The sequence below is a fragment of the Homo sapiens genome, chromosome 6 (genome assembly GCF_000001405.40).
Source record: "Homo sapiens chromosome 6, GRCh38.p14 Primary Assembly".
Taxonomy (NCBI): Eukaryota; Metazoa; Chordata; class Mammalia; order Primates; family Hominidae; genus Homo; species Homo sapiens.
The window spans coordinates 113,623,535-113,650,597 of record NC_000006.12 but is presented as its reverse complement, the minus strand read 5'-3'; the positions used below and the strand labels follow the sequence as shown (position 1 = coordinate 113,650,597).

General features: G+C 39.8%; 1 long non-coding RNA gene across 1 annotated transcript, besides 9 other annotated features; it reads left to right on the top strand.

Annotated features, from left to right (window-relative positions):
* Positions 1–522: 522 nt before the first annotated feature.
* Positions 523–27,063, top strand: LINC02541 (long intergenic non-protein coding RNA 2541). The gene is made up of 3 exons (NR_125844.1): positions 523–583; positions 22,923–23,077; positions 26,952–27,063. It is a non-coding gene; the product is annotated as a long intergenic non-protein coding RNA 2541 (long non-coding RNA).
* Positions 7,066–7,598: an enhancer, noted in NCBI's record as "NANOG hESC enhancer chr6:113964202-113964734 (GRCh37/hg19 assembly coordinates)". NCBI's record gives its function as "activates a minimal SCP1, AML or CMV promoter by ChIP-STARR-seq in naive H9 embryonic stem cells {active_cell/tissue: H9 hESC(naive)}" and the evidence as "EXISTENCE:reporter gene assay evidence [ECO:0000049][PMID:30033119]".
* Positions 7,157–7,451: an enhancer, noted in NCBI's record as "tiled region #5191; HepG2 Activating DNase unmatched - State 5:Enh". NCBI's record gives its function as "activates a minimal TATA promoter and a strong SV40 promoter by Sharpr-MPRA in HepG2 cells {active_cell/tissue: HepG2}" and the evidence as "EXISTENCE:reporter gene assay evidence [ECO:0000049][PMID:27701403]".
* Positions 7,157–7,451: a silencer, noted in NCBI's record as "tiled region #5191; K562 Repressive DNase matched - State 9:DNaseU". NCBI's record gives its function as "weakly represses a minimal TATA promoter and a strong SV40 promoter by Sharpr-MPRA in K562 cells {active_cell/tissue: K562}" and the evidence as "EXISTENCE:reporter gene assay evidence [ECO:0000049][PMID:27701403]".
* Positions 7,176–7,245: an enhancer, noted in NCBI's record as "active region_24968". NCBI's record gives its function as "activates an Ori minimal core promoter by ATAC-STARR-seq in GM12878 lymphoblastoid cells {active_cell/tissue: GM12878}" and the evidence as "EXISTENCE:reporter gene assay evidence [ECO:0000049][PMID:35858748]".
* Positions 15,628–15,677: an enhancer, noted in NCBI's record as "active region_24967". NCBI's record gives its function as "activates an Ori minimal core promoter by ATAC-STARR-seq in GM12878 lymphoblastoid cells {active_cell/tissue: GM12878}" and the evidence as "EXISTENCE:reporter gene assay evidence [ECO:0000049][PMID:35858748]".
* Positions 18,243–18,292: an enhancer, noted in NCBI's record as "active region_24966". NCBI's record gives its function as "activates an Ori minimal core promoter by ATAC-STARR-seq in GM12878 lymphoblastoid cells {active_cell/tissue: GM12878}" and the evidence as "EXISTENCE:reporter gene assay evidence [ECO:0000049][PMID:35858748]".
* Positions 19,163–19,302: an enhancer, noted in NCBI's record as "active region_24965". NCBI's record gives its function as "activates an Ori minimal core promoter by ATAC-STARR-seq in GM12878 lymphoblastoid cells {active_cell/tissue: GM12878}" and the evidence as "EXISTENCE:reporter gene assay evidence [ECO:0000049][PMID:35858748]".
* Positions 19,323–19,622: an enhancer, noted in NCBI's record as "active region_24964". NCBI's record gives its function as "activates an Ori minimal core promoter by ATAC-STARR-seq in GM12878 lymphoblastoid cells {active_cell/tissue: GM12878}" and the evidence as "EXISTENCE:reporter gene assay evidence [ECO:0000049][PMID:35858748]".
* Positions 24,319–24,368: an enhancer, noted in NCBI's record as "active region_24963". NCBI's record gives its function as "activates an Ori minimal core promoter by ATAC-STARR-seq in GM12878 lymphoblastoid cells {active_cell/tissue: GM12878}" and the evidence as "EXISTENCE:reporter gene assay evidence [ECO:0000049][PMID:35858748]".

The window sequence follows — 27,063 nt, the reverse complement described above, 5'->3', positions numbered from 1 at the left end:
GGGGCACCTCCATGGTCACCACAGTACCCACAGGTGTACCCTTATATCCTAGGACCCTTGGCCTCACTCCGTCTGTTCTACTCCCCTCTCTAGACCAACTCATGGCAACGTGTAAAAGGAGGTGACTCATTCCCTTCCTAGGTTCTCAGTCCCCACAGAGAAAGTTTGGATAGGGAAGTTACACCTCTGGAGGCTCACCTTTGTTTGCCGCTATTTCCTAGCCAATAAAACCATTGCTTATTAAATCCTAATTCCACAGACATTTCAGTGCTGAAATTCCCTGCACTGAGTTAAATACAGAGGACGCAAGATAAATAAGAAACGTAAATGGGCTCATATCCTATAGAGGGTTATGTACACTTTAGCAGAAATTTTAATAATTTGATAAGAAGAGAAATAGACTGGATCAGAAGAGGACTCTCCTGACCAGCCTGGGAAAAGTCTGAGCAGAGTCTGCAGGGGCAAATACAACTTACTCAGACAAAAAAGGCTGTCAGCAGCAAGTCTAGGCAGAAGCCAGGAGGAGTTAGGAACAGACTATAAGAAATGGTTGGTCTGGAGGAAAAAGGGTAAAACTTATGAGGTAAGCAGTATACAAATTTATGCTTGCAAATTTCTTTTTTCTTTTTCCTTCCTATTCAAAGGTCAATGCTTCGAAACTTGTACTTAGTTTTGTCAATAGTGTCTCATGTGCATTTTCTGAGTGTGAAGAGGATTTGGGTAGGCAAGACTAGAGAACAGCAGGAAGTCATTGCCTATTAAATTTTTATTTCCAGCCATTCACTGATGTATTGGTAAGAGGACAGGAGTCCTGGGGAAAGACTGCCTCATTTACACTCCAAAGACTTGGGTTCTGATCTCCATGTCGTGGCTTATCATAGTGTAAGCCAGTTATGTACCTCTAGAAATGGAAGTTTCTGCTGTTTATAAACTGGAAATAATGATACATGTCCTGACTCCTATTGGGTTGTTGCAAAGGAATCAATTGAAATAAGACAAGACTTTCTGAAGGCACTTTGCCAACTTTCAGAACTGTAAAGATTAAGGGACTGCTACTATGTGCTGCTCAGGAAATAACAGGCACCTGGGAAAACCCACGAAGTAAGGTTTTGTAAGAAGTTGCTCTGCTCCCTGGGAGAAAACGCGGAGCTCAACACTGCCAAGAGGAACAAGTCTGGGAAATTACGACATGAGGTAAAGCAAATAGGGCTTTTCGTTTTGTTTTTGGATACCACAATTTCTTACATGTCGTTCTTATTGTTTACCCTTCCTCACCATTGGTGGTTTTGAAATGAAAGGAAATTGGGTTAGAGAGTATTAATAAAGCAAGGGAGATGGCTAAAATTTACTTGATGTAAAAATAAACCGAACCACTTTAGTGTGGGGAGAATCAAATACTACACATTCATTATGTGGAAAACAAATTCATCTTTGTGGTGAATCAGAAAACTTTTCTACTTTCATGGAACACTATCGGCTCCCCATCCTCTCACACTCCCTGGGAGAAATAGTAGTACATGATCAGATAAATATAACTTGCCCTAATGCTTCTCTGCTGAAAGATTTTAAAAAATCCCTCTCTTATTAGCTTTACTTTGTTGATGGTTTGCTGGACTCGCTATGAGAAGACCACTGAGAATATTATCAATCTACTCAATACTGATGAGAACCAGAGGCCACAGGCATTCTTATCAACATGTGTGTAAGGTCATGGAAAGTCTCCATGTCAACAGTCCTGCTAAAGTGGCCACTCCTGGAGTAGCAGTAATCTCCTAAATTGTCTATTCTCTAAGCATTTTTTAATAGAGAAATCAGCAGGAATATTTATATGAGTTCACCCAACTGGTTGATGCATACAAGGAAATTGCTGATAGCAATGTTAATTACTTTTTCTTGAATACTCATTCACAGGACAGGTTGATCTTTGCCATTTTACACAAACAAAAAATGAAATGACATCTTTTAGCCTATCATATAGGCTGTAAAAGATATTTTGGAAAATAATTTTCAAAAAAAGTGGGTGGACGACACTAGGGATTGACTCACTTAATATAAACAACAACCACTTCTGACTTGTCTTATTGAATTTTAGAGTATGGAAAGCTAACAATGTAATTCTCCCAAAGCTCTTGCAGTTTGAATTTGAGGAGTAAACTGGGCTCCATCATGCAAAGGCAAATATTAATTTTCTATTGCTGCACGCTCAGATTAAGCAACTTAAAATAACATCATTGTCTGGCTCACAGTTTCTGCAAATCAGGAGTATGGGCATGGATTAGCCGATCCTCTGCTCAAGCTCTCACAAGGCTTAAATCAAGATATTGGCCAGGGATGGGCCAGGCGCGGTGGCTCATGCCTGTAATCCCAGCACTTTGGGAGGCCAAGGCAGGCGGATCATGAGGTCAGGAGGTTGAGACCAGCCTGGCCAACATGGCTTAAACCCGTCTCTACTAAAAATACAAAAAGTTAGCTGGGTGTGGTGGAGGGCACCTGTAATCCCAGCTACTTGGGAGGCTGAGGCAGGAGAATTGCTTGAACCCAGGAGGCGGAGGTTGCAGTGAGCTGACATCACACCATTGCACTCCAGCCCAGGCAACAGTGTGAGACTCCATCTCAAAAAAAAAAAAAAAAAAAAAAAAAAAAAAAAGTTGGCCAGGGCTACAATCTTATCAGTTATCATTTTCAGGCTTTTTGGTTGTTGGCAGAATTCCGTTTCTGTGGTTGTAGGACTGAAGTCTTTGCTTTCTTGCTGGCTATCAATGAGGGATCATTCACAGCTCCTAGAGGCTTCTTGCCATTTTCTGCTACGTGGCCCTCTCCACAACATGGCAGTTTTCTCCTTCAAAGCCAACAGGAAAGTGACTTTGGCTTTGAATCTCTATTTTGTTTTAACTGCTCACCTGATTAAGTCAGGCTCACCCCAACATAATCTCACTCTTGATTAATTCACAGCCAACTAACTGGACACCTTAATTATATTTTCAAAACCCTTTTTTGCCATATAATAGAATGTAATTATGGGAGTGACATCCCATTGTATTCACATGTCCTGCTCACATTCAAGGAGAGAGTACTGTAGAGGGTGTGTACGTCAGGAAGCAGGAATCTTGGGGAGCATCTCAGAATTCTGCCTACCACAATGTGCTGCTTGGGGCAGAAGTAAGCAAGGTTAGGTAGCATACACACACGGGGGAAATTGTAGCTTTCAGCAAGCACAGTGGCATGGGTAGTACTTCCAGGGGTGCTTTAGTGGAGTTTTCACTTCTGTTTTCTAGTGCCATGTGAGCCAAAAAGTCAGCAGCAACAGCAGAGGTGTTTTTGGTAGGAAAACTGATGTGGTTGGGCATTTTTCCTGGGTTTTCCTTGGTAGCATTCAAGACTAGTTTTTTGGTCTTCAATTACATGGTATAAGCTACTGGTTATAAGTACTCTTCTGCTTAAACTATCTATAGTGAATACGTTTATATGCAATATAAATCCTTTATTGCTACAATAAGATCATCAACTGGACCTCTTTTTATATCTCCATTAAAGTGTGTAATTCTGCATTGTTTTTGTAAATTCATAGAACTTTAGAGCAGGAAGAAAACTTCTGCTTCTAGAAAGAGGTCTTTTGAACTATATTCTATGGAAACTTATAGCTCAAGTTATAATAATAGGCTTTTATTGGGGTGGGGGAGTATTCAATAGTCATGCTAACTTGGGATACATTATACACACTTAGAACTTACAATAATACCCATTAGCATATTAAAGACTCAGAGATCCTACAGAGAAAAAAATAACAAAAAACTAAACTCAACTATCTAGGCTGGGTGCAGTGGCTCACGCCTGTAATTCCAGCACTTTGGGAGGCCAAGGTGGGTGCGTCGCTTGAGGTCATGAGTTCGAGACCAGCCTGGCCAACATGGTGAAACCCCCTGTCTCTACCAAAAATACAAATTTAGCTGAGCATGGTAGCGCATACCTGTAATCCCAGCTACTCAGGAGGCTGAGGCAGGAGAATTGCTTGAACCTTGGAGGCAGAGGTTGCAGTGAGCTGAGATCATGCCATTGCACTCCAGTCTGGGCGACAGAGCAAGACTCTATCTCAAAAAAAAAAAAAAAAAAAAAAAATATATATATATATATATATGTAGGGTGAAGGCTTTAAACCATGCTAACTAGACTTCCTGACTCCTAGGAACATAAAGCTTATTTGTTACTCCCTACATTTGCCTGAGAAGTAAGCTTCAGTGAATACAAACACAGCCTCAGGAGGAAGCACAATATATTAATATAACTAGTTCTGGCAAATCTATCCATGATGTATCCATGAGACCTGTCTTATCTCTTTGAGGAGCTTGCGACCCCATGTATGTTCACCCACACACCACTCAGCAGAAGATAACTGCCCAGAGAGTAGGCCAAGGGGGATGTTCTCATGACTCAGTTACTCACATGAGCGCCCTTCCTAGGTACCAAGGCCAAGGGCCCCCTGACCGCAGGAAAATGAGACTTGTGAAATTAGGCTCCAGGACATTTTGCTTACTGTAGTGCAATTATCTTCCATGTAGACATTCTAGGCTTAGGATTTGATAGAAAATAAATTGCTCTAAAATAAGTCCAAAATTAAAAAGAAAAAAATGTATTAAGGTCACCGCAGAAGGCAATACAAATGGAGTACATAATAGAAACCTGATTCCTGAATCAGAATGCTTGTGAGCACATGTCCCCTGCATTCCATGATGTAAATCACATCACACACATCAGACCAAGAAAGATGAGCTTCCAGGAGGTGCATATTTTCAGCATGAAAACAAGGAGTCATTCGTGTGATAAGCACAGTTTATGGTCAGCTGGCTGGCCTGACACACCTCGGCTTTTACTGTTCCCCAAGGCCACATGGTTGCATCTTGCAGAGGCCAGGGGTGAATGTGAACGTGCCCAAGCAGCTTTAGACCTTGAGGCCCCCCTTTGCTGTTCTTGGAAGGAACTTCAACTGAATAAAGAATCTGGGCTCCACCACATTTTTATTACTGGGAAGAAAATTTCCCCTTCAGGGCAGAGAGGTACAATCACAAGTTAGACTTCTGCTGGTCTCCTCCCTGCTCCGCAGTTTTCTCGTCCTTTCTTTGGGAGACACATTTCTAAAAGGACTGGTACACTGGTCAGAAACGGAAACCAAAACCCCACAAACAGTCCTCATGGCAATGTTTTGTAGCCACTGAGACCCGTAAAAGAAATGAAATCTTGGTCAGGCGTGGTGGCCCACGCCTGTAAACCCAATACTTTGAGAGGCCGAGGTGGGCAGATCACCTGAGGTCAGGAGTTCGAGATCAGCCTGACCAACATGGTGAAACCTCTTTTCTACTAAAAATACAAAAATTAGCCTGACGTGGTGGCCGGCGCCTGATATCCTCAGGAGGCTGAGGAAGGGAGAATTGCTTGAACCAGGGAGGATTGCGCCACAGCATTCCAGCCTGGGCAACAGAGCAAGACTCCATCTCAAAAAAAAAAAAAAAAAAAAAAGAAATGAAATCGTAAACAAATCAGCCACTACATTAGTCATAAAGGGACTTAAACCACAACACACACCTACTACAATTCTATGGGAAAAGTTTCCACATATGTGCAATTCTCTGAGGTTTGTGGTATTTCCCATGGCTCCAACTGAGGAATGACTACAGTCATGCACTATGAAAGTCTCTCAGGCTTTGTGGAGTTGCATTTATTGCTTTTAAATAGTTAGGAAAAGATAATTTAGGAGTTTTGGTAATGGCATAAAGCAGTTTTGTTTTATTCTTACATGCCTCAGTCTGTTGAATAGACCATTCTCTGGCTTTTTTGTTTCAGCTGTTGAGCCTTGACTCAGAGGCTTGCAAAGCTATCAGGCCAGTTGAAGTTGGTTGTAGGGATACTCTTGAGGACTATAAAAAAAAAATCCTGCTTTTTTGAAAACTTGGTAATGTAAGCCTCCAAGAAATGGGACATATTTCAGCTTTTAACTATCCTGTGATATGTTTAGAGAGGAATAAAATAATTGGCAAAATACTTTCCAAGCCCTAAATATTGGCTTGTTATTTATCAAAAAGTAAAATCAGATTATAAATGATATTTTTCTTTATTATTAATCCTCAAAACTTGGCTGAAACTATATTTAGTCTATAATTGAGGAAATGCTATGAATATTTAAAGCACAAAGTTTTAAAACATAGTCAATTTTGCTTTGTTAGATTGTATACAACCAGTAGACACACACTAGATTTGTAGACACATATTTTTCTGTTTAGGTGATATGTCTGATATGTACATCAGGAAAGCCCAGAAAACTCTGAAAGTGTAAGTTGCCCAGTGCCTGTATAATGCTTCTTTTTTCAGTATTACACAAAAATTCACCAGCAAGTGTCTGGTACCTACTCCGCATTCTAGCATGACATGAAGTTCCACTAGTTACAATATTCTTTTTTTTTTTTGAGACGGAGTCTCGCGCTGTTGCCTAGGCTGGAGTGCAGTGGCATGATCTTGGCTCACTGCAAGCTCTGCCTCCCGGGTTCACGCCATTCTCCTGCCTCAGCCTCTCGAGTAGCTGGGACTACTGGTGACTGCCACCATGCCCAGCTAATTTTTTGTATTTTTAGTAGAGACGGGGTTTCACCATGTTAGCCAGGATGGTCTCCATCTCTTGACGTCGTGATCTGCCTGCCTTGGCCTCTGAAAGTGCTGAGATTACAGGCGTGAGCCACTGCGCCGGGCCTTACAATATTCTTTATTGGAAGAAATGTGGGTTTATTTTTCACTGGGAATTATTTGTGCTAAACTTATATTTAAAACGAATTTTATTTTTCAAGAGTAATGTTTCCAGACTTGGGGTAGTATAGGATGAGTACATTTCCACTCCTTCTCTTTCTTTCATCTAATGGCCTAAATTAATTTCAATCTACCAAAACCAAAATGAAGTTACTCCCTTTAAAATCCTGATTCATAATGATCCAAAGAATGAAAGAAAGATGTGGTGGGGGTTCCCAGAAGAATGTCCGGGTATTTTCCGAGTTATTACTGCATACTAGGGTTTTCAGTTCAAATTCTGGGAAGGAAACAAGAGGTGTTGATGGTGTGGATAAGGGTCCTCAATTATTTTTCTTCTTTTGTCAGTCTGTAACTTTAAATGTCTTCCTGGAGCAAAGCAGGAATGGCTGCTTTGGATTTCAAATGAGCACTCAAACAATTTTATCTGGCCCAGAAATGGACATGTTTTTGATAAGTGAATGAGGAGAGCTGATATCTCCATTTCAAAGGAGCTGGCAGAAGGCCAAGAGTCAGCTCTTAGGAACCTGGAGGGAAACACTCATAAAGCTTGCTGATAGCCCTCCATGGTTGCCTTGAGCCTGGACTTTGAACTCTTCACTGCTGTTCTAACAGGTAAAGCCCCAGATGCAAATATTTGGTTTGACTCTTTGTTACTGTAAACACTGCAGCCCTCAGGATGATGTGATCTGTAGAATTTGCAGCTGTTTGCACAGATGTTATCAAAACAATTTCAAATTCTACTTCCTTGTTATTTTTCAAGAATTACTAGCTTAGCTGGTATTTTGGGGAAGAGTTTTGGTAAGGATAGGTGAGCAAGGAGGTTAGGGAAGGAAAAATGACAACAATACATGGGGAGCCCAGGACTCTGTATACACATTCAGAAACAAGGTCAAAGAGAGCGTGGAGCAATCATCCAATGAATCCAAATTCCACATCAGCCCAGGAAAGGTAAATATCAATGAGCTCAAGGGGGAAACATCAAAGCTCACCTCCATCCAACACAGGTTGTTCCTCTTCTTTGCTTTTTGTCCATGGCCATGCGTTATGTTTCTTGACCACCTTCCTTGTTGCATTTTATTGTATCCTATCTTGTATTTGCTGGTTTCCTTTTTTAAGTAGACCTTTTTCCCCCTTATCAATGTAAATCTATCCTCCCCCTATGGATTTTCAGCATCTTCTGGGTGGTGCCATTTGGCATGAGAGCAGAGTTCAGCAAGTAGAAAGCATGAACTGTGGAATCAGCCCAGCTGCTTTCAAATTCTGGGTCTTTCACTTAGTAGCTACGACAATGTTGGAAAGTTAATTAACTTCTCCGAGTCTCTGTTTATCTCTCAGAGATAGTCATACCTACTTTACAGTTTTGTTTTAGACATTAAATGAGATAGTGCCTATAAGGCTCACAGCTCAGATCCAGTTCCTTAAATACATTTCTTTCCTTTCTTTTATTTCTTTTATTCCCTTACTCCAGAACTCTCTGCTCCCACTTAGTATATATACTTAGTTAAATATAAATCTATATGCTTTTAACGAGTAGATTGGAAGGTTTAGAAATGATGTAGTATCAGCTTGCATCATTTTGGAGAGACTCAGTGCTTAAAAAGCCCCAGCCATCTTCCCTGGATCAGGAAGTTGTGATTTCTTGCTGAATGTTTCTCAATATATTTCCTTTAGCTCCCCCGCTTTTTTTTTTTTTTTTTTTTTTTTTGAGACAGATCTCGCCCTGTGGCCCATGCTGGAGTGCAATGGCATGATCTTGGCTCACTGCAACCTCCGCCTCCTGGGTTCAAGCGATTCTCCTGCCTCAGCCTCCTGAGTAGCTGGGATTACAGGTGCCCACCACCACATCCAGCTAATTTTTTGTATCTTTAGTAGAGACAGGTTTCACTATGTTGGCCAGGCTGGTCTTGAACTCCTGACCACGTGATCCACCCGCCTCAGCCTCCCAAAGTGCTGAGATTACAGGCATGAGCCACTGCACCTGGCCTTAGCTCCCCTCTTTATGGATATGTTTACATCTAGATATAGGTTTGTTGAGAGACATAGTAAAGTGAAGAGTGGAGAAAGAAGACAAAGAGGAAGATGCTAGGCAAAATATCAATGAAAATAGAAAGCAAAGCCCTAAAAAACACACCAAATGGAATACACTTAAAATAACAAAATTTCATTTAACAATGTGATTCTCATAGCATAGAACCCAGGTGGAAGACTTGGGCAGACATGATCAAGTCTAGTGCGTGCTTGGGTGCTGAAGAATATCTGCAAATGTAGATTCCCAGTGATCAGAAAGCTGAGGGATAGGCCAGAAAGTTTAATAAATATTTTTAATTAATCCTGTGAACTAAAAATATGTACCTGCATGGCTGAGTCAGGAGTGTAAAGGACTTGTTGAAGCAGATTTTAATAAGCAGCATGGAGAAGCAGTGTTTTTTGAGTTAATGACTGAAATCTTCAGATAAGGTCTTATTTAGAAGATTTGTATATGATAGGTGTTTATATTCTATATATTTCAATAATGCTATGTATGTATATAGGTACTGTAATCCTTTTTATCAGCTCTATATGTTATTCAGTTTTTATTTTTTTCAAAGTTTTTTTTTCCCAATTAAAACAACATAAATAGCCTTTTTTTTTTTTTTTTTTTTTGAGATGGAGGCTCGCTCTTGTCACCCAGGATGGAGCGCAATGGCGTGATCTCGGCTCACTGCAACCTCCGCCTCCCGGGTTCAAGCGATTTTCCTGCTCCATTCTCCTGAGTAGCTGGAATTACAGGCGCCCACCATCATGCCCCGCTAATTTTTTGTATTTTTAGTAGAGATGGGGTTTCACCATGTTAGTCAGGCTGGTCAAAAACTCTTGACCTCAGGTGATCCACCTGCCTTGGCCTCCCAAAGTGCTGGGATTACAGGAGTGAGTCACCTCATCTGGCCCCTTTTTTTTATTTTTAATTTTTTTTAGAGATGGGGTCTCACTTTGTTGCCCAGGCTGGAACGCTGCAGTGGTGTGATCATAGCTCACTGCAACCTCCAATTCCTGGACTCAAGGAATCCTCCCACCTCAGCCTCCTGAGTAGAACTACAGGTGCATGCCACCACACCCAGCTAATTTTTAATTTTTTTGTAGAGATGGGTTCTTGTTATGTTACCCAGACTAGCCTTGAACTCATGACCTTGTGATCCTCCTGCCTTGACCTCCCAAAGCATGAGTGACTGTGCCCAGCCTATAAACATCTTTTTATTTAAAAAAAAACTTTAATAGTTAATTTTCCTAAAAATTTGAGAAAAACATTGGAAATATATCCAACCTGCTCACTGAAAACTCCCAAGGACTGAATGAATAAACTGCCCATTAGACAATTTTCCCTTCTCTTGTTCCCACTGGTCCTTGCTTACTAACCCTGTTAATTTTAAGTGTTGAGAATATAGAGTCAGAGATGGAAGGAAGGTGTATTAAGGTCCTTAAAAAAGAAGAAAAGACATAGGCCCATCAAACATGATAACAGCCAGGTGCCTATTACTATGGACTTTTGTCCCCAGAAATGGTTGCTAAGCTGCATTTCCAAGGAAACCACAAGGTATTTTGGCTCACATTTATCTGGCCAAGGAATAAAGTGCTGGTTGCTCAGGTAGGAGACCAGGCAGACAACTCAGAGACTTCTACTGGGATCTACTTCTCAAGGATACTGTTTGTCAAATAACCAGCATGAATATTTCCCTCAGTGAAACCCTTCCTAACTATTCCACAATTTGGCATTTCCTCTTCTGTGATTATGTGCTTCCCAAGCAATTTGTATATTTGTGCATCGAAACACTTACTATATTGCAGTGATTACCTGTATAATGTCAGCTCCCTACAACACGATACCAGGCTCATATTAGGGAATTGACTAGATGAGTAAATAATCTAAAGAAAATACCTTTTTGAGTAACCAACTTTGATTACCCTAGGATGTAAGAGATCTCCCAGTCAACCTAGGCTATCAATAGCAACTGGATGCTTATTGTTTACTCACTAGGCAAATGTATTGAGTGTTCCCAGTGTTAATTTGCTTTTGCTTTTTATGATTTGCCATTTTATCAAGGCTCTCTTGACCTCGAATTTCTCTAAAATATAATTCATTAATGTGAGAAGAAATGAGATCATTGCCTACGAGGTCCTGACTTTTTAAGATAAATTTATGAAATGTAAATTCTGTACAATAAATTTATATTAGAGGTAATATTTTGATACTTATGTCCCTAAAAATAGTAGTTGGAAAAGTATTTTTTAATAGTCTTTTAAGGCTGTTTAGATATTGGTGAAACATAAGGAGAAGAAAATTCCACGCTAAACGCTTAGTAATTGTATATGCATTTTATTGTGTCCTAACTTAGACCATGCTATGGAACAAAATAGACAACTATTCTGTATTATTTAAATTTGGTTCCTATTTTAGTGTTCAAAGAATAACTTTACATATGCATTTAAACTTTTTTTTTTTTTTTTTTGGAAATGGAGCCTTGCTCTGTCACCCAGACTGGAGTGCAGTGGCGGGATCTTGGCTCAATGAAATTCCTGCCTCCCAGATTCAAGCGATTCTCATGCCACAGCCTCCCAAGTAGCTGGGATTACAGGCATGCACCACCACACTCAGCTAATTTTTGTATTTTTAGTAGAGAAAGGGTTTTTCCATGTTAGCCAGGATGGTCTTGAACTCTTGACCTCAGGTGATCTGCCTGCCTCGGCCTCCCAAATAGGTGGGATTACAGGCGTGAGCCACCACACCTGGCCTTAAACTTTTTTTGTTATTAAAAAAAATTCAACCCATCTTTATGTATTACTTCATTTTTTTTTGAATTACAATATATGTAGTAAAAATTACACAATTTATGTCTTAATTATGTATTATGTTTCAAAAATTTTATCCTAACTTTTAAATAATATCCTAAGCTCTTTGAAGAAAGGAATAAAATTGGACCTCTTTTGAATCCTAAACTTTGCCTAGGACTTAATAAGTACTGTTTGACTGATAAGCAGTGGCTTCCATTTACTGAGTCCTATGCTATACACTGTGTGTGTATGTAAGAGTGTATGTATTATACGGATCATGTATAACTATGTATATAACTATATATATGTGTATGTGTATATAGTAGGTGTATGTAAATATCATTTAATCCCCATGACCACCTGATGAGAGTATATTCTGTCTTCATGTTACAGATCAGGAAAACAAGGCTTCTGGAGGAAATATAGCTCAGATAATCTATTTAAGAAGCAGCATTTGAACTCATGTGTATTTTGGGTTTGAAGTGTTAATTTTTCAGTACACAATCTCATAGTCCTCTCCTTTCTTTCTTAAGAATTAATTAGTTGCTGACTCTTTGGGGAAGGTAGAAGGAAGTTTAAAATGGCATATAACATTTTGACCTGGTATGTTCTGGAAATTAGGACTGGAATGTGTCCCTTTAGAGGAGAACATATCAGAATTGACATCTGTTTAATGGCTTGCAGAGAAAAGAGGTAGAGCTTGTTATATTCCTATCTCTATTTCTATGCAGCTGAAATTGATCAGTACAAGTTCAAAAAATGTATTTATCCTGCAGGAAAGCAAATAGAAGGGATGGATCTAGAGATTCACATTGATGGATAGCCATGGGCCCTGCTCCTAGCCTGCTCTCCTTATGGGCATTGGGAGTGTTTGAAAATAGCTCTAGTATCTGGATTAACCTGTAGTGACCACCCCTGCCTGGCTCTGCAGGGAGGTGGTCATGCAAGCACTCCCCACCATCAGGAAATGTATTTTGATTATGGCATGAAAATGAATGCCAACAGTTGTCTTCTGTGTTTTTATTAGGAGCTCTGCCTAGGCACAGACTCTGAATAATAAGTGAATATTAAATAATATGCTTAACAAACTTTTGAATATTTAAGCACTTAAAAATCAGTGGCCAGACATTAAGAATCAGTAGTTGCCTGTCCAGGTTATAACATGGGCTAAAACAGAAGAGAAAAAAATAATTCTAAGCTGCTTTTACAGTAATTTGGGAAATAAAATTAAAAGTCTAAAGATGGGCGCAATGGCACATCTGTAATCCCAGCTATTCTGGAGGCAGAGGCAGGAGGATCCCTTGGCCCTAGGAGTTTAAGACCAGCCTGGACCCGGGCAACATAATAAGAACCCGTCTCGGGCTGGGTGTGGTGGCTCACGCTTGTAATCCTGGCACTTTGGGAGGCCAAGGTGGGCGGATCAGTTGAGGTCAGGAGTTTGAGACCAGCCTGGCCAATACAGTGAAACCCCGTCTCTACTAAAAATACAAAAATTGACTGGGTGTGGTGGCAGGCACCTGTAATCCTAGCTACTTGGGAGGCTGAGGTAGGTGAATTGCTGGAACCTGGGAGGCAGAGGTTGTAGTGAGCCGAGATTGTGCCACTGCACTCCAGCCTGGGCAGCAAGAGCGAGACTCTGTGTCAAAAAAAAAAAAAAAAAAAAAAAAAAGAACCCATCAAAAAAAAGAAAGAAAAAAGCAAAAGTGAGAAAGAGAGAAAGAAAGAAAGGAAGGAAGAAAGAAAGAAAGAAAGAAAGAAAGAAAGAAAGAAAGAAAGAAAGAAAGAAAGAAAGACAAGAAAAAAAGTCTATGCCCAAGGTTCATGTTTGTTTTTTCTTCCTGTGTCTTTTTTATCTTTAATCTAACAAATGACTAAATAGGTTTGTCTAGAGGCAGTGACAAGGTGGGGAGTGAGAAAGAAGTGTAGAAAAGCTGGCAGGTAATCAACTTGAGGGAAAACAAAAAGGAAAGTCATAATAAACAAGCTGAACTACACACATGTAGAGCAATAAAACTGCATTGAAGTTATGTTAATATTGAAAGAACCAATGAAATCAAAGTTGTAGATGAAACTTGTTTGCTTAAGTCTAGAAGCGAATGTACCATTAATTAAGATGCAAATGATCTGACATGCTTTCTGAACTCTAGCAAAACTCTTCTATTTTTATTTATTTAGTTTTTGAGACAGGGTCTCTCTGTGTTGCCCAGGCTGCAGTGTAGTTGGGTGATCATAGCTCACTGCAACCTTTAACTCCTGGATTCAAGCTATCCTTCCACCTCAGCCTCCCATGTAGCTGGGATGACTGGTATGCACCATCACACCTGGCTAATTTTTAAACTTTTTTGTAGAGACAGAGTCTTGTTATCTTTCCGTGTTGCCCAGGCTGGTGTCAAATTCCTGGCTTCAAGTGATCTTCTCACATTGGCCTCCCTAAGTGCTGGGATTATAGGTGTGTGCCACTGTGCTCAGCCAGAACTGTTAATTTTGTATCCATTTTAGATCTAGTTTAGTTTAATAAACATTAGTTGAGCTCCTGCTGTTTTCCAGACATGGCCAGAGGCTGATGACCTCATGTAAGCTGTGGAAGAATTCCAGTGTAGCTGGGGAGATAATAAGTAAGCAGGTCCTTTCACTGTAATAAAACAGGATGCAATAAGATAAAATGTTATTACAGAAATGATTTCTAATGTAAAAAAAAAACTTTTTAAAACCAATTAAAACTATGTAAATGGCCAGTTGTAGGATGAGCTAGGATTCTGGAAACAGGTAAGTATAGTTCTGAGTCCTGCCTCTGCCTTTGTGTGACTGAGCAAATCACTTTATTTGTAAAAGACTCATGTACAAAATACAGGCACTAAAAATACATACATCATACAGTTATTTGGAAACTCAGTCACTGTTACATGTTAATTATTATTATAGTTAGTTATCAGTTATTGAACTATCACTATTTTACCATGATTACACAAAGTCATGGAAAATAATTACATCCAGGAAGATCATAAAATGCCTTGACTTTATATACTGTGGTTTTATCAAATATATATTTAGTCTTCCAAAATATACAAATGTTTGGGCTTTGCAGAAAAAGATGCTTATTTTTCTTTTTCCATTCAGATGTTTTGACATCATGTAGACTCTAATGTTTATGTTTTGTTGTCAAGGTGCAATTAGAACCTTCCAAATTACCATCTAAGGTGTTCAAAGTTTTTTATGCTCACATTAGGTTTGACATTACACATTTATTAGTCACTTCAGTGCTGTTATGATTTTTGTATCATACAAAATTTGATGCCAAAGCCTTTATAGCAGATGTGTTCAACAGGAAAAAACTTTACAAGAAATTTTCATCTATGTTAGTCTCCCATAAATGTACTTCTTCTCGGTACACTTAATCTCTGTCTCCTTCAGCCTCTACCATCAAAATACCTCTGGCAAGGTCATCTCTCCTGCCCTGGAGACATTGTGCTACCCTGCTGATTCTGTAAGGAATTTGGTATTACAGTGTCTGGCCCTGTCCTCAGGCTCTCTGGTTACCTCTTCTCTCCAACTTTGGACCTGTCTTAGCATTCCTTAAATCCATCCAGGTATGGTTGGCTCTTCCTTGGTCCCAGCTGACTCAGTCCCAAGATCCTTCCCCAACATTGCCTCTGGCCTCAGAACCAGCATCTTTGCTCTTGCTTTTTTCACTTCCAACCAGGCATTCTTCTTGCATCAGTCTTTGTTTCCAAGAATTTCTCATTTAGTGTTCATTCTCATGTTCTATGGGAAATACACCTGTATCTTCCAAACTTGTTAACTCCATTTGGTTCTCTCCAATTTTGTAAAGACCCATTTTGTCTGAGAAAACCCTACAGCCTCCCTTGTCCCTTAGATATGATTCATCAATGGAATCTCCCTGCTTTTCCTTGTTTAAGTAAGTGCTAGAGTCTAATGTAACCCCACTGGGAATTTTCATAACTTCTTGTCAACTCTGAGGTTTACAAAATTGTTGAGCTCACTTCCTCATTTCAGTGATTGTGGAACTAACCCAACATAGAACCAAAATTTAGGGTGGCTGTCATTAGAATGATTTCTAAACAAAAGTGTGAATGATGTTGCTTGCCTGTCAGATAATTTATTCACTACTTTCCCCCACCCCAGCATTACCCCCTTAGAAATCAATAGGCTTTCTAAACGGGTTTCTCCCTTTCATCCTTCCTTCTCTGCCACACCCCCATCACCAACATTTCAGATCCTCTTAGCACATTTATTAGTCCATGAGGCCTCTTCCTGAAGGTCACACTAAGTGTTAATAGTGGTTTAGTGAGTTTCCCCAACCCACTAGGAATCTTTAGAAAAGCAAACAAATACACTTTTAAATGGGAAGTGAATTGAGTGGGGAGTGTACGCTCTTCAAGTAGGGGAATTTTGTGATTTGGGGCATGTAGGTGTAGAGTGAGTGTGAGAGGTTTAGTGCTTTCCTGTACCCATTTAACACCCGGACCCAGGCCCATATTTCTTTCACTGATTGTGCCAGACGTTTTATGTGTTCTTCCAACAGTACCAGTACTGAGTAATAGTACTCAAGTTTATCTAGAAACTCAAGTTATCACCATGTCCAAGTAAAAGAACCATCATCTCTGTTCAGCCTTGTCTCTCTTCTGTGGAATCTTCCCCATGTTGCATAACTATCTTGGAGGGAGACATGTTCTCTCCCATTTATATAACCTTGTTCTCTTCTAGAGAAACAGCTCTGTGTTAAAGACACTTGAGGGAAAATGGCATTACTGATGAGATGATATTTAGTTGTCCCTTCAGAGCCAAAGGGCAGTGATTCAAAAACATTTAGGGAAATAGAAGTAACTCTTTGTAAGCTAACCAAACAGTGACCTGAACTCTTTTACCTTGTGATTTCTTATGAGTGCTTAGTTTAGTCGCCTGAAGATCAATCTTGAAATTAACAGGCTATTTTGGATTATAACAAGATTATTTAGAGACTCAAACATTCCAGAGTTCCTTTAGTAGATGACTTCTATCATGACAAGCAAGCTAAAAGGTCAGTGGTCCCAAAGTGGGGTGCACATGATCTATTGAGGTACAGAAAAAGAGAATAATAAAAATATATAAATGTATCATTATTAATAAATATAATCTTTAAAAAGATGAATTTTTATGAATGATTTATATTATTCACAATAAATTAATAATGATTATGTCATTCATAAATAAAAACATAGATATATGGTAGTACATGCTTAAATTTTATTTAAACTAGTAAGAAGGTGGGATCAAATACAGTGAAAGTCTAATGGTTAGGTAACACTTTGGCTGTAATACCCTCTTCCCTCTAATCAATGCAGTATAATAAAGACAGGTTCTAATATCTCCTCCTGAAACTGGGAGGAATTTTAAACATTCTCCCTTCTACATCATCAGAACAATATAGTTTTACTTTCACTACCTTTAAAAACATTAAGGAAAGTAGAGAACAATATTCAGATTAGTTATAAGATCAATTTTCCTATCTCCTTCTATAAGTTTCTAGGATTTTGTATATTTGGTGTGTAACATACTAACTATGTTGTATTTTTCTGTGCTTTTAGTCACAAAAAGATCCTTGCTTAAAACAAACATTTTCTAAAGACATCAAAGGCCATGTAGAAAAACATAATATAAAAAGTATTTGCAAGCTGGGTGTGGTAGCTCCCATGTCTGTAATCCTAGCACTTTGGGAGGCAGAGGTGGGAGGATCACTGCTCCTCACCCACCTACAGGTGGCTCCCATGCTTGTAATCCCAACACTTTGGGAGGCAGAGGTGGGAGGATCGCTTGAGCCCAGGAGTTTGAGACCAGCCTGAGTAACATAGTGAGACCCTGACTCAAAAATTAGCTGGGCATGGCGGCTCATGCCTGTAGTGCTAGCTATTTGGTCTTGAACTCCTGGCTTCAAGCAATCCTCCCACCTCAGACTCCCAAAGTGCTGGGATTACAGGCATGAGCCACCACACCTGCCCTATCCTACCTATTTGGGAGGCCAAGGTGGGAGGATTGCTTGAGCCTGAAAGGTCGAGGCTTCAGTGAGCCATTATTGTGCCACTGCACTCTAGCCTGCATGGCAGAGCAAGATCCTGTATCAAAAAAAAAAAAAAAAAAAAAGAATTTACAGTTGTGTGCCATAGCTTATTAGCAACAGTAGAGAAATTATAGCACAATATTTGCTGATACCACAAGGGAACACATATTTGTGGTGTCTATCTTTCATGTGTTTTTATTTTAGGAAATGAATGCTGATGTTAGGCAACTTAATCCCTTCCTTGTGACTTTTGCTCCTATTTCCAAGCTGGGTATCTCTTACACAGGCATTAACAAGTAGGTTGACTGTCGGGACAAGCCCAGGGATGGCATTGTTTCTATTTGCTGATAAATGACTCTGGGGCTGTGAAGACTCAGACCCAAGGAGTGACTCAGAAAGTCAGGGGCCCATGTCATTCTGCTCTGGGTTCAGACGTGCACTGCAGCAGCACCGGGACTTGACAGCCCTACGGCTCGATCAGCTTTCTGTTTTCATTGCCTTACGATGCCATGAGTGGAACTATTGTCAAATCAGAGTTCACTCCCCAGCTTTTCAGTCTTTCCCCTAATTCTTGCTCTATCAGAGGTCGAGGACAACAGTATAATGATTCATAGGTTCTACTTCCTGGCAAGTAATCATTTTCCCACGGTGAGTAATGATTTATGCTGAGAGGGGTAAAGAATTGTGATTTGCTTTTTTCTGTGTGGCCTTTCTGCTGACAGAGGGTTGGCTAGGAATACTTTTTTTTTCCATTTGTAAGGCCATCTAGAAAATGTTTTAAAGCATTTTAATTTTTTAAACATAGGCTCTTTAAATATATATATTATTCATAGAGAACTGGAATAATCCCCTCATATACTTTGTTAAAAAACAAAGACAATTTTGAAATTTCCTTTTTTATGTTGGCATGTGAGGACTCGGTGTGCCTCATAGAAGTCAAGAGCTGTAGAGGCCCACTACAACCCCACTTTTTAGATGGGAACACTGAGACCTGGAGAAGTTACTTGAGTTGTCCATTTCCACAGAACTGGCTAGTGACAGAGACAGATTGAAGCTTAAATTAGCTCATCATAGGCTATGATTTTATCTAACTTTAGGCTTACTTGTACCATGTCATAAGGGGAAATCTAGGTTTAAAGAAGTCCATGACTTTCACAGTGAACCACATGAATTAATGACAGAAGGGCCAAGGCAGAAGCATAGTAATTGGTATCGGATGGACCTTGGCTTGAATCGTGGCCCTGGAACTGGATGATGTTGGCTAATTTACTTAATTTATCTGAGTATGTTTTCTCACTTTACAGATGAGAATGGGGATAATAATGTCAATTTCATATCATCTGATGTAAGAGTAAGAGATAAGGCATGCAAGGCTCCTGACACATGGTAGGCTTTCAATAAACAGAAGCTCTAATTATTTTTTAAAACTAAGCGACACCTGTCCTTGCTCTCTGGGTTTCCTTTTCAAAGCAGCCCTAGTTATACTTCGCACTATCTTAGAACTTTGCTTTGTCAGACTCAACAGTTAGTTTTCTCAAGCCACTACTGAAATTTTTCCCTTAGTACTCTGCATCTGAGTTGTCTCATTTCCTGGAGGCCCTGTCACAGGCCAGTAGGCTGTTACAGAACATGATCTGAAACCTCACTGGCAAGGGAAGTCCCCTTCAAAAGAGGCATTTTTTTCCCCTTCTGGAGTTTCACGCTTCTCTTTCAGATTATGTAGGCAACCCCTCAACCGGAGGACACAGATGAAGGTCCTGCCCCGATTGTCCTGTGGACAGTGTGGGTGCAGTGGGGAGGCTGAGGGTCTGGGCATATTTGCCCCATATGTCGTCACTGCCACCATTTCTGCCTCTGTACCTCCATGTCCTTTCAGCTTCCCCACAAATGGCCTTTGTTTTTTTTTTTCTCTTCCCTTTGGTCTCCCCCTCCCACCTCACCAGGACCAACTCTTGAAACACCCAGTGGGAAATTTAGAGGAGTCTGTGATACGTGGGGGAGTATTGGAGCTTTGCATTTCTGTGTTTTCTTACTTCCTTTAGAGCTCACAGGGATTTCCTAAGCAGTCTCTTCTGTGCCCAGTGGCCAAGACTGGCTCCCTCCCCCTGTGATGGGGAATTGCCACCTAGGTGCAGGTGGTTCTTCTTTTACTTCTTCTTTTCTAAAAAACACAGTTACAAAAATATACACCTTATGTTCAGGTCTTGCAATGAAAAAAATTGCTCTAGTGATTTTTGTAGTATTTTTTCTATAACTGAAATGCTATTTACATATCATGATAAGAGATAGTCCATTTCATTAAATGGGCTCATTCCTTTAATTGAAGTGTGTGTGTGTGTGTGTGTGTGTTTATTGGCATACTTTCTAGATATTTTGTCACCAGGGAATTTCCCACTTGAGTATATGTTGTAACATAAGTGAATAGTCTGCAATATTTTTTTTGAGACAGAGCCTTGCTATGTTGCCTAGGCTGCAATATTTTTTAAACATTAATATTTACATAGAGATTTGTACTAAGTGTTTTGAAAATCCTTTAAATCACATTAAATATCATAAAAGAGATTTTTCATAATTAGAAAATATAGCCTCAATCCCATCCTTTTATTGTAATGATTGGTTTCATTTTCATATATTAACTTTCATTTTTTATTCATGTATTATAGTTTCATTAGGGTAGGGTCTAAAATTTGTGCTATCAAAATGAAACTAGCTATTGCTTCACGTTTACTGCAATAAGCCCACCTGCTTTTCTGATTTTGTGTGCACTGTCCTCTGTGAACTGTAATGGACCAAGTAACTATGAAACCAACATCTTCTTCCCTAGAGGATGGTCCCCTGGGAAGCCCCTGGATCAAGCTCCAATTCTGGCAGCTTCTCTTTCTTTTAAGAACAACAGATAAAGTTCCAGCATGGCTTATTTTATTTATTCCACCAATATGTATTCAGAGTGTACTAAATATTGAATGCTACTATGTTAATTGGGGACACAGGATGTATAATCACTTTGACATATTGAATATGGAGGGAAAACACAGGGAGGAAACTATTTTGGTGCTTTTGTGATTCTGTAAGTGGCTCAGAGTCAATTAGAGGAAAACATGATCTCTGTTTTTGGGTTCTGCAAGGTTGGAAGAAGTGGATGTGGAGATAAAGTAAAATGAGGGGCATGGTAAACTGTGGCCTGGTGGTGGGGTGGAGTTTGTATTTCAGGATACATAAAGTAATGAGCCCTATGATTAATAAAGCTAAGTTGAATACCTAACCCATGGGTTGGATAGCTTAGTATCTGGGACAATAAACTAGGAGTTTTGTTTATTTGTTGGTGAGTGGGGGAGGTGGGTATGGGAGATTTAAACTGAATTAGCAGGATTGAATCTCACTGAAAAGGAGGGAAAGAAAATTCTAACAGATTTCAGGAAGACAGAACTTTATTGCTTATGTAACCAAAAAGTCCCAGGCTGGAATTGACCTCAATTTTAGCTGAAATTAACTCTTTCAACAAAAGTTCTGTAAGTTTGCCTTTTTTCAGCTTTTGACTTAGCTTTCTTCCTTATTCTATTTTAGGCAGCCTTCCTCACATGATGGCAAAGATGGCTATAAACATTTATGGCTTAAATTCTACAAGTTTTGAAGCTTTGTTGGGAAGTATATGTCCTTTTTGCTTTGTTTGGCCCAGCTTGGCCAGTCTCAATCCATATGGTTTGGATGGGGGCTAATCTTGGAGGCAGGTGGTGGGATTGGCCCTTATCCAAACCATATCAATTGAGAATGGCAAATGGTACTTCTTCAAGGGGAAGGAATGTGTTGTGTTATCAGGAGAGGCGTGCTGGGTAGGTGAAAACCAAGAATGACCACAATGCAGATCCCTTTGAGGATCTGTTGAAAGAAATGGACCTTCTCTCTTTAGAAAAGTACTCTTGGCTGGGTGTGGGGGCTCATGCCTATGATCCCAGCACATTGGGAGGCTGAGGCAGGAGGATCACTTGAGCCCAGGAGCTTGAGACAATTCTGGGCAACATAGCAAAACCTGACCTTTATTGAAAAGATTAAAAAAATATATTAGCCAGGTGTGGTGGCACAATCCTATAGTCCTGGCTACTCAGGAGACTAAGATGGGCGCATCTCTTGAGCCCAGGAATTCAAGGCTGTGGTGAACTGTAATCATGCTACTGCACTCCTGTCTGGCCAGCAGAGTGAGACCCTGTCTAAAAAAATAATGATAATTATAAAATAAAACATAAAGCACATATAAACATAACATTATTCTGCTCACAATTTCAGAAGTTCACAGACCTTCTGAAGTTATATATATCCATACCCTAGAGTTCCATAGATTCTAGCTCAAAAACTCTGCTCTGTAGTGTGGAATAATTGTGGATAAGCACTGTGACTTTTTGGTCATAATATCTCCCACACCTAGTGGAAAGACTTACTTGTACATTAAGTGATTACATGAATGAATGAACCAAGTAACATTTTTTTTGTGTGATCTAGTATACTGGTATTATGCTCATGTTTTACATATTTACCTTATTCATTCTTGTAACATTATTTTATGAATAAAGAAACAGAAACTAAGCTAGGGAATAAAGTGAGCTGAAAACCTAGAATTGACAAACCTGGAAAGGAGATGAGAGCAGCTGTGAAGTTCAAGGGCAGAAAGTCTGTAGGAGCAGGGGGTTAGTCCGGGGTGTCAGAGAATGTTGTGGGATTCACTGTTGTGGCTCAGCTGATCCTAGTTCACAGCCACAGCCAAAGAGGCCATCCCCTCCGAGGCCTCAGGCCACTATGTGGCTGCTAACCCCCATGTAGTTCTTGACAGAGGCAAAAAAATTTTACCATTTTCTCCCTGTAATAGCCCCTTAAAATAATACTTTAGTCTCATATTTTTAGTTTCTACTTCAGAACCTGCCTCGAGCTAAAACTGTATTGTTGTGGTTGAAATTTATTTTCAACTCAATTATTGGATTCATTCATGGGATAATTAGAAGCCCCATAGACAGTTGCTCAAGTTAGTTTAAACTCACCATTGGAAGATCCCAGAATTGTCAAGGTTGTACTTCTGAAAAAATGATGAAAACTATAGGTAAATGGCTGGAGAGCAAGCAAATTGAACAGCAGATAAAAGAGAATGTCTTCAATCTTATGGCGTATTAAGTATTGGGTCAGCAGAAGAAAGTGGTTGAAACAATTATCATGAAGTCACCAAGTTTGGCAGATTTGAGAGATCACATGTTTAAAGAGAGATTTTTGTTCTGTTTTCTCACCTCAGGGCCCTTGTGAATTGATGAATATGAAGACACTAAGAAAGCAGAAATAGAACTGAGAAGAATGAAATAACTGTCTCTACCTTTCTCGAATTGTCTAATATGGAAAGAATGAAAGACAGCTAATAAGCAACTCTCTGCAAGAAGACATATGGCTTAGGTTCTGCTGAGCTATTGGTGATTTGATTCCATGCATATGTATTCACTACTGGTATAAGTATATACAATATATGTGTTTCTGCAAAGAATCGTAGACTTGATGCATTTTTTAATATTTCTTAAGGACTTACTACTGAGTGTCAGTATGAGAGGATCGTTTACTTCCTTTTCCCATTAATTTTGATAGCCTGGATTGAGCAACTTTCTTACCTAGTTTTGTTTTATGAGGTGCATTAGCTTTTTCTTTGTGTGTATGTTTGTGTGTGTGTAGCTTTATTAACCATATTGTTTGGGCTTTTGATAAAGCAGAGATTCTGATATGGTATACATTTTGAACTAAGCATTCATTTATTCAGCAGGGATGTATGTTTAAGACACTGTGTTAGCCAAGGGTGAGAAGGCGTGTGGAATGGTAGAGGAGCAAGGTGAGGTAAGATGATTAAAAGACACCAGCTGAGAGTGTTATTTTATATGGCAGAAGGATGTTTGCAGATGCAATTAAGTTAAGGACCTTGAGATGGGGTATGTTATCCTGGTAGGCCCAATGTATACATCAGGGTCCTTATGAAAGGGAGGCAGGAGAACAGAATGAGTAGTGAGAAGAGTGAATGGACAATACTGAGGACATGCTTAGGGACCCAAAGAAGCTTGCTATGGTAGGGCTTGGTGGACTCTGTACTGATGAGAAAGGCTAGGCCATGCTATGGAAGCAAATAAATCTGTTGTAAAGTGACAGAGTTTCTCTCTTGCTCATGCAAAGTCTGCTAAATGGCTGAGTGATTCTCAAGGGCATCCCTCACTCATGTGATGGCTCTGCTGTGTGTGCATCCCTGCTAGCCAGGCAGGTCAGGAGAATGTTAGAAATGAAACACTTCCTTCTGGTGGCCAAAAGAAGTCACATGGCTACATCTGTTAATAATTCGAAGGTTGTAGACAGTATAATATTCCCTTGTCCTAAAAGAGGGAAGCTAGAAATATTGGTAAGCAGCACATATATCTTCCCCATGATCCCAACTTTGTTGGGTAGAGAAGCATTTTAAATAACTTTGGAATTTACATATATTCCTCAAATATCTAGTGGTAACTCCATGTCTAAATCCAGGGTACCCACTTTCTTCCCTAAACATGTTTGAAAGTCCTGCATTCTCTCAGTATTGTTACAGAGCCACATTTCAGTTGAATTGGTAGTGCTGAGAAAAGCGTTATTTATTTTATTTTTATTTTAGTTTTTTTTAGAGACTGGGTTTTGCTGTGTTGCCCCGGCTGATCTTGCACTCCTGGTCTCAAGTGCTCCTCCTATCTCAGCCATCCGAATAGCTGGTATTACATGTGCACACCATAATGAGAAAAGCATTATGATTAACCTAGTAAATTGATTTTTAATACTGCATTATTTGATTTTCAAGGACTTAAAAAACCACTTCCAGAGAGCTAGACACAATGAATACAAGCAAGCTAATAATGAAAGTGAGAAACCACATGCTGCTGAATTGAGTATGTAGCAACATTTGTAAAGAAATGGCAAATCATATCTAATTATTTCATTGTGCTTACCTTTCTTCAGTCAGAAAGCCTTCGGCATCTAGTGCATTTCTACAGATATTCCGTGGTGATTTAATATCAATTAATATCAACCTGCAGCAAAGTGTTGACAGTGTTTCTAAATTCACAAGCCCAACATTTTGCAGTATTGGGCATAAGTGAAGGAGCTTTCCAGGTTGCTGCTAAAAGCAACTCAAAAAGATGCGAAGTAGATGTGAAACCTTCATATTTGGTACTTCTATAGCAGATTGTCTTCTCTCCTAGAAGAGAGGCCAGGAGACAGACTAACCCATTTCTCTAATCCATATGTTGTTCGCTGAGGCTCCCAAAGCTCTGGGAAGTAATTTACTTGCAGTTCTCTAGAGATGGAGGCAGGGAGCTTGAGTGTGAGTCCAGTGGAGACTGTCTTTGGAATTTCATCTGATCACAGGGTCACTGTCCATTTCTCTTCTCAGCAGGCCTAGGAAAACACCAGGACTAACCCCCTGGAGGGAGCCTAGCTTCAGGATTAATTAGGGCTTGATTAATTAATTAAGGTATGAATCGAGGGCTTAAACAGTAGTTAACTAAGAAATATGTATTTGTTTTACAAAAGTTAAAATTTATGGAACAGTATATTAAGAATTGCTTTTATTTTATAATATAATGTGTTAATGTTAAGTTCTTTCCATACATTCTTTCGTTTAAAGCACACACAAAAATGCAGATGTGGCCAGGTGCAGTGGCTCACGTCTGTAATCCTAGCACTTTGGGAGGCTGAGGAAGGCGGATCACCTGAGGTCAGGAGTTCGAGACCAGCCTGGCCAACATGGTGAAACCCCATCTCCATTAAAAATACAAAAATTAGCCGGGCATGGTGGCATGCACCTGTAATCCCAGCTACTTGGGAGGCTGAGGCAGGAGAATCACTTGAACCTAGGAGGGGGAGGTTGCAGTGAGCCAAGATCGCACCACTGCACTCCAGCCTGGGCGACAGAGCGAGAATCCATCTAAAGAAAAAAATGCAGATGAAGGGCCTGCCTTGATTGTCCTGTGAACAGTTTGTGTGCAGTGGGGAGGCTGAAGGTCTGGCCTCCTTTGCTTCTGGTGTCTTCACCGCCACCACTTCTGCCCCTGTGTCTCTATATAGTGTAAGGGATTGGTATTAATTATTTCCCATTTTACAGATGAGGAAACTGAAATCCAGAGAAATGGAGTGAGTTGGCCAAGTGCACACAGCTCATTTCTTACCTAGTATTTACTGTTCACACACTGTATAGACCCTTTAATAAGCTAATCTAAAAGATTAATCTAAAAGATTAGATACATTACCTCGTTTCAGTGCCACTATAGCCTGGCATTGTACATATCACTATCTTCCTGTCGAATAGGAAGGTTCTTAAATTCTGAGACATTTGGTAACATGCCTGAGTTATGTGTAAAAGCTTAGATTTGAATTTGAGCCTCCTGACTTGAATCTTGCGTTTGACCATACCACATCTGCACCTAGCTGTTGGAGGAATCAGAACGCCCAAGACCCAGATAACTCTAAATAAGGCCCAGTCTGAGTCGTGCTTCATGGTTAGGTTCATAAGTTCAGTGCTGAAAAGGCTGATTTTTCCTGTTTTTCTAGGGTCTGTTTGCTGGATTTAAGATACGCTCTCTCCAGAAATATGACAAAACAATTGTTTTGTTTGCTCATTTTTTGTTTTGTTTTGTTTTTCGTTCTTACAAGGTAACTAGTATCCCTAGCACACCAGAAATAATTGGCACTGATGTTCCTGACAAGAGGAGTCTGCTAAAAGTGACCTTTAAATGCCTTTTGGTGGAGTGATTATTTAATTTAGGCAGTTTCTTTTCTCAGAAAGGAATTAACAGTTTCTACGGGCTTTGCTAGCTGAGACCTTTAGTTTTAATCACCTCCTTGAAAACATTCTCCTTAATCTATTCTGAGTAAGATGGTGGGTTTCTTTGTACTTTGGCCTTTAACTTTTTTTTTTTTTTGAGACAAGCTCTATCACCCAGGCTGGAGTATAATGTCACGATCATAGCTCACTATAAACTTAAACTCCAGGGTTCAGCCGTGGAACACAGGTGATCTTCTTGACTCAGCCTTTTGAGTAGCTGGGACTACAGGCCCACCACACTGTCTAATTTTTTATTTATTTATTTTTGTAGAGATGGGATCTTGCTATGTGGCCCAGGCTGGCCTCAAACTCCTGGCCTCAAGATATTTCCCCCTGCCTTGGCCTCTCAAAGTGGTAGGATTACAGATGGGTCTTTAATTTTGAAATGCACAGATTAAGGAGTTTACTAACCACTGAATAGACCACTCTTTTTCTTATCTTACTCAGAATCTACTTGGAGAGAGTCAAACACAGAATCCCTTTGAATTTAATGGCCATTCCAGGTGATTTGAACAGCCAAATAAGAAACAGGTCCTCTTCAATGTACAATCTGCCAAGT